Below are 11,368 nucleotides of genomic sequence, written 5' to 3'. Positions count from 1 at the left end.
CAGTTTATTTGAAGATCCAGTTTCTTTGCAGAGTCTTAGAATGGACTGGACTTTGGAGATAGAGTTATAGGAACCAAACTCATAATAGTGGGGTTTTTTTTTTGTTTGGTTTTGTTTTTGAGATGGGAGTTTTGCTCTTGTGGCCCAGGCTGGAGTGTAGCAGTGCAATCTCAGCTCACTACAACCTCCGCCTCCCTGGTTCAAGTGATTCTTCTGCCTCAGCCTCCCAAGTAGCTGGGATTGGAGGCACCCACCACCAAGCCCAGCTAATTTTTGTATTTTAGTAGAGACAGGTTTCACCATGTTGGCCAGGCTGGTCTCTAACTCCTGACCTCAGGTGATCCACCCGCCTTGGCCTCCAAAAGTGCTGGGATTACAGACGTGAGTCACTGCGCCTGGGCTCATAGTGGTGTCTATAATGAAATAAGTATCATGCAGACCAAAGCACCTATGTCCTATTTCCTTTTGTATTGTTAGATCTATGCAAGAAGCTTATTTATGTTTATAACATTGCCTTTGCAATCTTGCATCAGAATTGGGGGCTAGTTGCATGATTCAGAGGTTCCTGGTCTGTGATTGCTGATGCATGCATCTCTGCAATACACAGGGCGCTACCATTGGGAATAGATTGGCTAAAATTTGAGGGCCTTGTCCCTTAAGTAGTGTTGGAGGTACACATTGATTGCCATATTTTTTGTTTTTTTGTGACTCCCTACACTTGAATGTCTCCTTATAACTTTCAGGATTGTATCAGTTAGGGTCTTGTCAGAAAACGGAATTCATTTCGGATGGTTCAGAGGAAGAGAAGAGACTTTAATGAAAGTACCACTTGCAGATATATGGATAGGGTTAAGGAAGCAAACTATGGATGAGTTTGTTAGCAGCAGTAGGAAGCTGTTACCACCCTAGAAGGGGACAAGAAGAAAAAGTAGAGTTACTGGATTATAGTGAGAGCTAGAGAAAGGGCCAACTGGTGGAGACTGAACTGCAGAGGGTGCAACTACTGCTATTGATATGAAAGGAAAGCAGAAGCAATACCATAACCTTTCTTTCACTCCTCCTGCCCACAGCGGACCTGCTGGAGCCTCTCTTGCCCAAATCGTACAGGAAACCATCTGGCAAGGGAGCTGGGTGGTGCAGTCTGCAGGGGTCATCCTGCTAGGGCACAGAGCAGGTCAGAGTAGGATAGAAAATGGATGTGGGCAGGGATTTGGTGAGAGACGGTAAATAACGAATAATCAGCCTGGGCTGAAGTCCAAATTCCTCAGCAAGGCTTATGAATCATTTACTATCAAGCTCCTTGTAGCCCCTTCCGTCTTGTTCCCCCTCACCCTTTGCCACTCACCCACCCAACACTCCCAGCTCAATCATGCTGAACTGTTTGAAATTCTGCTTAGGTGCCACATTCTCACTTTGGGCATCCCCTCCTCCAGGAAGTATCTGCATCCTGGGCTCGCCCATATCCCTATCACAGCCCTATCATCATGTAAGTCATTGATGTTAATCTGGGTTTTTACTATATAACTGCCATGAGGGTAGAAGCTGTATCTTATTCACCATTGCACATACCCACTGTCAAGCACAGTAACTGTCATTTAGCAGGTGCTCAGTACGTATTTGTTGATTCACTGAATAGACACATGAATACCATTTACTCTGCAGCAACTACAGACCTAAGCCAGGCTTCACCTGCGGGTCATGCTCAGATGTCTTGGAGACACTTTTTCAGTTGCAAGTCATTGTCCATGTACAAATGGATTTCCATGGTTAAATTCTCATATGGCCCCTTTATTTCTAGGTCCTAGGGTATTTTCTGCTGTTGTTTCATACCCTTCCTATAAACAAAACATACTGAGAACCACGAGAAAGGCAGGAACAGGCCAAGATCTAAAGGACTTTGGAAGAGGAAAGAGGCTTTAAGGAGGATGTGGCACTTAATTGAGTCTTCACAGATGGGTAGGATGTGTCACATAAAGAAGTGAGGAAAGGACACTCCAGGCTGAAGAAAGAGGACAAGCGGAGACAGCAATGGGAAAATGCATGCTGAGTTTCTGGGAGAGCGAGTCTTGACTGGCATTACAGGAGTGGTAGTAAGGTTAGGTAGTTGGACCAGATCATCGAGGCCACTGGATGCTGGATTAAGGAGTTTGAACTGAATTCTGTAGACAGCAAGGAGTCACTGATGGTTTTAGATCAGCAGGAAGATGCTGGGACATCTGTCCATTTAGGAGATGCATTATAACCTTATAAATGGCCACCTTGTACCTATTACTAAAGTGATTGCCTATAAATCCAAGGGGCAGATGGGGCTGGCTTCATGTCTCATGCTCTCTCCTTCGCCTGGTTTCTCTGCTCATTCCCTTGGCAGCACATAATGGATGACACATCTTTGTATCCAGGAGCAGATTCTTAAAATTTATGAGGTGATAAGGATTTGTTGTTTTCGTGGGCATCTATCAACATAGGAAACATTCACCATTACGTTTAGTAGAAAAGCAGGAAATTATGAAGTTAGCTTGGCTTGGGGGGTGCGGGGGGACGGGGGCGGGACACAGAGAAAGGACAGATTGGTAGAAAAAAAGAGCTGATCCCAAGATGCTGAGAACTTATTGGTTGTTCAATGGCTCACTGACCCTGAAAAAGCCATTTGGAGCAAGCTCCTTTCTAGAAATAAAGAGGTGGGAAAACGTAATCTCTTCCAAAAGGGAGGCCAGTTTCTTTCTGGAAAACAAAACAGAACAGAACAGTCTTTCAAAAACATGGGCTGGCTAGTTGTTTTCTAGAGCAGAGCAACTTCATAGAATGTAAATATTTATGTTGGATCTCTCTGTATGGGACTTCATGAAATAAACAATATTTGATAGAAAGTGACTCAATCTTTGCATTTTCCTTTATGTCTGATTATTTTGTAGACACTTTTAAGAAGCACTGATTTCTGTGAAGAGATTCTAGACTGAGTATTTCTAGTAGTAAAATAAGGAAAAGAAATCGAAAGGCAGTTAGGAGGGTGGAAAATTAATGCTGGTGGCACTTGCCAGGAAAGGTTTTTGTCTCAATTTAATGCAATTATTGATTGCCAGTTAAGTGCAAGCCACTGCCCTAAGAGCTGGGGGTCACAACAATGAATAGGAGGTGGTTCCTGCATTTGGGTGGCCCAGAGGAAAGAAGTGAATTCTAAGGTGCGTTCGACTGTGAAGGATCCCATGGTAAAGTGTATGCTGCAGGCTGTGGGAGAAAACAAGAGTGGGCAAGTTTTGTCCAGGGGCTTGGGGAACCTTCCATGGGCTGCTGGGACTTTCAAAAAGCTCTTGGCCGGGCAAAGTGGAGGAGGTAGGACATCAGGTTCCTCCTTGTGCGTGCTAGTTGCCTCTGTCATGTCCCCTTGTGAGAGCAAGTAACGCACAGTGACATTTATTTCCAGCTCTGCTTCCCCAGTTGAATTGTAAATAGCTTGAGGGGAGGGCCTTATATATCTTTGTGTCCACAGTGTTGGAAACACAGAAGGTACTTAAGACATGTATGTCAGTGAAAAAATGGGAGGGCTTATGTGAAAAAAACGCAAGTAATTTCCACATGTGCTTTTATAAATAGAAAAAATAATACAAATTAAAAAAAATTACATCCCCGTTTGCCTCCACCGTGGGATACACAGCTTGGCTATTTGTGGAATGATTTGTGGAATGTGCAACAAAACCAAAAGGTCTCTTTGCCCTGCCCCTTACTGGTTGGGTGGTCTTTCTATCTCACTCATACAAATCACATCTACCTGAGCAATATTGTTATGAGGATTAACAAAGATGACGTTTGAAAGTACTTGGCACAGAGTGGGTGTTCAGTGAACTAATATTTCTTCTTGTTTATCATATCCCAGGCCCTGGGAGACAGTAGAAGTTGGATACATGTATGATAAACTAGTTCCAGTAGTATTCTCTCCAAGCCACTTTATTGTTTTCTGTGAGGAGAAACTCAGTGGAATTTCTTTCTTTCTTTTTTTTTTTTTGAGACCGAGTCTTGCTCTGTCACCCAGGCTGGAGTGCAATGGTGTCATCTTGGCTCATTGCAACCTCCACTTCCCAGGTTCAAGCGATTCCCCTGCCTCAGCCTCCTGAGTAGCTGGGACTACAGGTGTGTGCCACCACACCGGGCTAATTTTTATATTTTTAGTAGAGACGGGGCTTCACCATGTTAGCCAGGATGGTCTCGATCTCCTGACCTCGTGATCTGCCCGCCTTGGCCTCCCAAAGTGCTGGGATTACAGGCGTGAGCCACCACGCCCAGCCCGAAACTCAGTGGAATTTCTAAGCCTTTCTCCTTCACACCCCAACAGAAGAACTTCCCTCAGCAGGAGAAAGATCTGCGATTCTTTCCCCCTTCCCATTCTTTTTATTTTAAAAAATTTCTAATGGAAACTTTCACACATACATAAAAATGTATGTTGAGAGAAAATAATATAATGAACCACCATGTGCCTCTCACTTATTTAAAAAACAAGATCAGTTTGCTGATCTTGTTTCATTCATTTCTCTCTACCTTTTTTCTTGCTATAAGTAATTGCACTTTTTTGCCATTGAAAGTAATGGCAGGCTGGGCCCGGTGGCCCATGCCTGAAAACCCAGCACTTTGGGAGGCCAAGGCGGGCAGATCACCTGAGGTTAGGAGTTCAAGACCAGCCTGGCCAACATGGTGAAACTCTGTCTCTAATAAACATACAAAAAAAATTAGCCAGGCATGGTGCCATGCGCCTGTAATCCCAGCTACTTGGGAGGCTGAGGCAGGAGAATCGCTTGAACCCGGGAGGTGGAGGTTGCAGTGAGCCCAGATTGCACCACTGCACTGCAGCCTGGGCAACAGGGTGAGACTCCATTTCAAAAAAAGAGAAAGTAATGGCAGAGACCACAATTACTTTTGCACCAACCTAATAGCATATTTTAAAACAGGCCCAAGAAAGTGGGTCATTTTTTTTCCCCCAAGATGGAGTCTTGCCCTGTTGCCCAGGCTGGAGTGAAGTGGCGCAATCTCTGCTAACTGCAACCTCCACCTCCCAGGTTCAAGCAATTCTCCTGCCTCAGCCTCCTGAGTAGCTGGGATTACAGGTGCACACCACCACACCCAGCTAATTTTTGTATTTTTAGTACAGACGAGGTTTCACCATGTTGGCCAGGCTCGTCTTGAACTACTGACCTCATGATCTGCCTGCCTCGGCCTCCCAAAGTGCTAGGATTACAAGCATAAGCCACCACGCCTGGCCAAAATTGGGTCATTTTACTGTCATCTTTAACCGATAAGGCCTTTTATCTTTTATAAAACCACTATGTCATTATCACTCCTAATGAAAACAAAAATAAATCTTTAATTTTCTCTAATACTCAGTTTATGTTCAGATTTTTTCCAATTATCGCAAGATGTCTTTTTCTGATTAGCTTGTTCAAATCGGGATCCAAATAAGACCATCATATCCAAAATTCCTTTTAGTTAAAATTCCAATCCATCCTGAGAGTGGGGGTCTGCCCTAGAGGCAATTTGTGGCATCAACTTGGGTGTGGGACTTTTGGGGCAACCCTGGCAGGCAATACAATTGTCCGTGAGTATCTGCAGGATATTGGTTCCAGGGCCAGTGGATACCAAAATCCACAGATGCTCACGTCCTTGTTATAAAATGGTGTAATATTTGCATACAACCACATCTTGCTGTATATTTTATTTTATTTATTTATTTTTCGAGATAAGGTGTTGCTCTGTCACCCAGTCTGGAGTGCGGTGGTGCAATCGTAGCTCTCTGCAGTCTCGACCTCCCGGGCTCAACTGATCCTCCCACCTCAGCCTCTCTAGTAGCTGGGACCACAGGTGTGCACCACAACTCCTGGCTATTTTTTTTTTTTCTTGTAGAGATGGTGTCTCTCTGTGTTGCCCAGGCTGGTCTGGAACTCCTGGGCCCAAGCAATCCTCCTGCTTTGGCCTCCCAAAGTGCTAGGATTACAGGCTGAGCCACTACATGCAGTATACTTTAAATCGTCTCTAGATTACTTAAAATACCTAATACGATGTAAATGCTGCATAAACAATTGTTATACTGTATTGCTTAGGGAATAATGACAAGAAAAAAAAAGCCTGTACTGTACATATGCTCAGTACAAATGTAACCATCTAGGCCGAACTCCAGTAACAACATAACATTTTCTGGGTTTTTTTTCCAAATATTTCCTCTCTTTTTTAAAAATTTTTTTCTTTTTCTTAGCATTCATTTTGCTTTGTATTTTCTGAATATTTTCCATCCATGGTTGGTTGAATCCTTGGATGCAGAACCTGAGAATGAGAAGGGCAACTGTATTCCCTCCTGTTTTCTCTATCATACGTGCAATAGAACCAGCTCCAAATCCCCCTAACTGTGGACAGCACCCAGCCTACCCAGCAAGGTTGAGTCTCTTTTTGAGCCTGAGGAAGGGAAGATTTGGGATGAATTGTCTGCCAAATGTGGTAACTTTCAGAGCTGCCTATTCCAGCTAATTTATTCGACACTCTTATTCATTGCCTTGGAGGCTGGGGGTGTGGTGATGAAATAGTGAGGAGGTGTGTGGCATGCGGTAGGGGGTTAGGGGCAGTTCCTCAGCCTTAATCCTACCTAGCCAATCTCAGTCTTTAGTAAAACTAGCTGTTAGGGATTCCAGATCCCACCAAAGAAAAAGAAACAAACTACCACCAACCTGCTCTGCCCACTTTCTATTCCAAGCTTCTATACGTTCAAAAGAAAGTGGCTGAAATGTATGCACTGAGATGAGATGAAGGGGTTTTAAAGGTTATGACATCCAACCTGTTTTCCACCAGCAGGTGGAATAAGAGCCCTCTGGCAATAAGAGCCGGCACCTATATCACTTCCGTGTAGCACATTGATCAGCGAAAACTCGCACCTGGGGGCTTGGAATCCTTCCTTCTCCCAAGGGCTCACATGGTCTCTCCGTGAGCCCCTGGAGGGGTGAAGGTCTTACAGTGTTTGTTGTAAGCAGGCATCCTCCTGCGTGTCATGGAAATCCCCCTCCCTGTGACTCTCATGTCTGCCCTGGTTTTGCCCTCTGTCACTCCACAGAATGCCATGATTTTGTGGGGGAGGGCAGGATATATAAACCCATGATAGCTGGAAAGTGAGCTATAATTTACAGTAAAAACAGTATTGTTGTCTCAGTACAATTAGATTAAAAGAGTACAGGACTAATACTAGCTAGTATTTAATGAGGGCTTATCTGTTCTATTAGTTTGCTTGGGCTGCCATAACAAAGTACCACAAACTGGGTGGCTTAAACAACAGAAATGGTTTCTCATCATTCTAGAGGGTACGAGTCCAAGATCAAGATGTCAGCAGGGTTGGTTCCTTCTGAGGACGGTAAGAGAAATCTGTTTCGCACCTCTTGCCTAGTTTCTGGTGGTTTGCCAACAATCTTTGGCATTCTTTGGCTTGTAGAAGCATCACCATGATCTTTGCCTTCGTCTTCACATGGCGCTCTCCCTGTATGCATTTCTGTGTCCAAATTGCCTTTTTTTTTTGAGGACACCAGTCATTGGAACAGGGTTCCATGCTAATGACTTCATCTTAACTAAGTATATCCGAAATGACCCTATTTCCAAAAAAGGTCACATTTTTGAGGGATTTGGGGTTAGGAGTTCAATACTTTTTCTGAGGGGGGTGGTGGTGATGGATGAAATTCAACCCACAAAATGCATCAAGCACCTTATGCATATTTTGTGATTTTTATTATAGCAGCATTTCCAGGTAGGTAATGTTATCTTCATTTTAGAGATGAGGAAACCGAGGTTAAATAATGTAGTTTGTTCAAGATTGCACAGCCAGTAAGTAGCAGTAATAGGACTTAGAAACTCAACAACCTGATTCCAGAACCCAGGATTTTCACCTGCATTGTATTTTCTTATTTCTCCATATATCTTTACCTCCCTTTCTCTTTGCAGTTGCTTGCCAGAAATTGGTCATTATAATTAGGTAAAATTTCTATGCCAGCCTAATACTGCCACCTGGTGGTGAAAACAAAGCAGCCTCGAACTTCCTGGCAAAGTTGCATCAGGCAAAAATGCTGACAGGCCTTTTCCCTAATACACCAATGCTGTCAAGCAATGGTGAATTCTGCTTGATCCTACATATATATATTTTATTTATTTTTTTCAATTTTTTTTTAAGATGGAGTCTCGCTGTGTCCCCCAGGCTGGAGTGTAGTGGCACGATCTTGGCTCACTGCAACCTCCGGCTCCCTGGTTCAAGCAATTCTCCTGCCTCAGCCTCCCAAGTAGCTGAGACTACAGGCATGAGCCACTATGCCCGGCTGATTTTTGTATTTTTGGTAGAGATGGGGTTTCACCATGTTGGACAGGCTGGTCTCGAACTCCTAACCTCAGGTGATCTGCCCACCTTGGAATCCCAAAGTGCTGGAATTACAGGCGTGAGCCAGCAATTCTCATAAGGAGCACACAACCTAGATCCCTCGCATGCGCAGTTCACAATAGGGTTCGCACTCCTATGAGAATCTAATGTTGCCACTGATCTCACAGGAGGCGGAGCTCAGGCAGTATTGCTTGCTCACTGCCTGCTATGCAGCCCGGTTCCTAACAGGCCAGGGATGGGTCCCAGTCATTGGCCTGGTGGCTGGGGACCCTTGTCATACATGGTATTATTTTGTGTGTGTGTGTGTGTGTGTGTGTGTGTGTGTGTGTGTGTGTGTGTGTGTGTGTGTGTTTTGAGACGGAGTCATGCTCTGTCACCAGGCTGGAGTACAGTGGTGTGATCTCGGCTCACTGCAACCTCTGCCTCCCAGGTTCAAGCGATTCTCCTGCCTCAGCCTCCCCAGTAGCTGGGACTACAGGTGCGTGCCACCATGCCCAGCTAATTTTTGTATCTTTAGTAGAGATGGAGTTTCACCACGTTGGCCAGGATGGTCTCGATCTCCTGACCTCGTGATCTGTCTGCCTTGGCCTCCCAAAGTGCTGGGATTACAGCCACTGCCTCCAGCCTATACATGGTATTATTCTGTTTTAAAAACCAGTTTCTCCTGGTGCCCCGGCTCTAAAGACTCATTCTAGTCACTATTTCTTTCTGCTGTTCAAATTCAAGATTCAAGAATAACTTAAGATTCTTTAGCCATTAGTTACCATTTACTGTTCTTTGGAAGAAAGAAGGAAGGGGCTGTACAGAATAATTGGCTTTGTTGCTTCTCCATCTCTGGGCTTGCAGTTTCCTAGACCTTATTTGACACTTCTGTCTTCAGTTTGCTATCCACCATTAGGTGTGTCTTACTACAAGCTCAGAAGTAATGTGGGCATAACATGCTTAACAAATTAGAAAAAGAATCATATTGAATAATTTTAGAACTGGAAGTCACCTTAGATCACACAACCTATTTGCGTTCTCACAGGGGAGGGATGGGAAACTGTGGAGGAAAGGAATCTCCGGATTCACTTCTGTGGGGTGGCTCACATGGCTCCCTGTAGCCTGCAAGGAAATGACAAAGGTGGGGTTTGGGGTCCTGGGCCTGAGCCTGGGGCTTGGGTACTGATTGACAGCTTTACTAATGATTTATTTTTATCTTGGATCAGAGGCTTTTAGATGCTCTCAACTCCAACATCATGGCAAACCCCTGTGTGCTGAGCTTAGATGGAAGGTGTGCTGCAAGTAATATGTTACCAACCATTCCAGTACCTGTGTTTGCAGATGCTGTTCCTTAAAGAATTTCAAACTAAGAAAAGTTGCAAATACAGGAGGTGGAGGCTGCAGTGAGCCAAGATCGCATGACCCTGCACTCCAGCCTAGGGAACAGAGCGAGACTCCGTCTCAAAAAACAAACAAACAAACAAACAAACAGGAATGCTTGTCGAGTAAAGAGACCAAAGTGGTTGTCTGATACATACATTTTATCTGTCATGTGTGTCACAGTGGAAAAAAAGGTTGGGAAATACGGTTTTAAATGGTTGTCTTCGTCCATTTCCTATTGCTTGTAACAGAATACCTAAAACTGGGTAATTTATAAAGAAACAAAATGTATTTCTTATAGTTCTGGAGGCCGAGAAGTCCAAGGTTGAGGGGCTGCATGTGGGAGCGTCTTTTTGCTGGTGGAGACTCTCTATAGAGTCCTGAGGCAGCGCAGGGCGTAACACGGTGAGGGGCCTGAGGGTGCTAGCTCAGGTCTCTGTTCCTCTTCTTATAAAGCCACAAGTCCTACTCCTGTGAAAACCCATTAATCCATGAGGGCAAAGCCCTCATGACCCAATCATCTCTTAAAGACCCCACCTGTCAATACTGCCACATTGGGGAATAAGTTTCTACATGAGGTTTTTTTTGTCTTTTTTTCTTGGTTGGTTTGTTTTTGAAACAGGATGTCACTTGTCACTCCGGCTGGAGTGCAGTGGCATGATCAGAGCTCACTGCAACCTTGACCTCTGGGCTCAAGTAATCCTTTCACCTCAGCTCCTGCATAGCTGGGACTATAGGCATGCACTACCACACCCAGCTAATTTTCTTATTTTTTGTAGAGACGGGGTCTCGTTATGTTGCCCAGCCTGGTCTTGAACTCCCGGGCTCAAGCAATCCTCCTGCCTCAGCCTCCCAAAGTGCTGGGATTACAGGCATGAGCCAACATGCCTGGCCAACCTGAGTTTTGAAGGGGGCAAACATTCAAATCATAGCAATTATGAAACAAACTTACTAAATTTCCATATGATACTAGCTTAATGAATAAGCTCAAGCTCAACGGGAACATAGCAAACCCTTAACATTTAGCAAATATTTGTTACATAAGTGAAGTGCAATTATTAGAGATAGAAATGGAGTTGGGTAAACTCAGGCTAGTAAACCTGAGGAGGAAAAAGAAAGTGAATAATTAAAATGCAGGGTAAGACTGGCTGTGTACAAACACAGAAGAGATCTCTAGGTCCCAGAAGAGACAACACATTAATGAAAAAAGGGAAGGGAAGATGCTGAGGGTCTGTTCTGATTACAACCTTACTCCCTTTATAGATTAACAGTGGGTCCTCAGTTCAAGCATGAGTGACATAAAGTAAGTTGTTAGCACAATTCACCAGCATCTGTTTACTTGTTACTATGCTTCCTTCTTGGGAGGCATTCCAATTACAATGACTCAGTTACCTCCTCCACCTAGGGGGACTGTGAAAAACAAACTTTTAAGCTGAAATATTCAAACTATTTGACATCAGTCTGAAAAGATGCATTGTTCATCCATTCAATAGACATTGATTGCCTACCCTGCAAGGTGCTGCCATGGGTTGCAGGACCCATGATGCTGACCGGCAGATAGGATTCCTACTAGCGAAGCTTGCAGTGTAATAAGGGCCAGAGTTGTGGGGCACAGTGCAGGAT

At 44.3% G+C, this 11,368-nt stretch overlaps 2 annotated features.

The window, feature by feature from the left end:
• Positions 7,887-8,390: an enhancer, noted in NCBI's record as "H3K27ac hESC enhancer chr11:111435687-111436190 (GRCh37/hg19 assembly coordinates)". NCBI's record gives its function as "activates a minimal SCP1, AML or CMV promoter by ChIP-STARR-seq in primed H9 embryonic stem cells {active_cell/tissue: H9 hESC(primed)}" and the evidence as "EXISTENCE:reporter gene assay evidence [ECO:0000049][PMID:30033119]".
• Positions 11,054-11,348: a silencer, noted in NCBI's record as "tiled region #3081; K562 Repressive non-DNase unmatched - State 22:ReprW". NCBI's record gives its function as "represses a minimal TATA promoter and a strong SV40 promoter by Sharpr-MPRA in K562 cells {active_cell/tissue: K562}" and the evidence as "EXISTENCE:reporter gene assay evidence [ECO:0000049][PMID:27701403]".

This window comes from Homo sapiens, chromosome 11 (assembly GCF_000001405.40).
Source record: "Homo sapiens chromosome 11, GRCh38.p14 Primary Assembly".
Classification (NCBI taxonomy): domain Eukaryota; kingdom Metazoa; phylum Chordata; class Mammalia; order Primates; family Hominidae; genus Homo; species Homo sapiens.
Note: the sequence above shows the minus strand (reverse complement) of the source record. Positions and strands in the feature narration are given on the sequence as shown.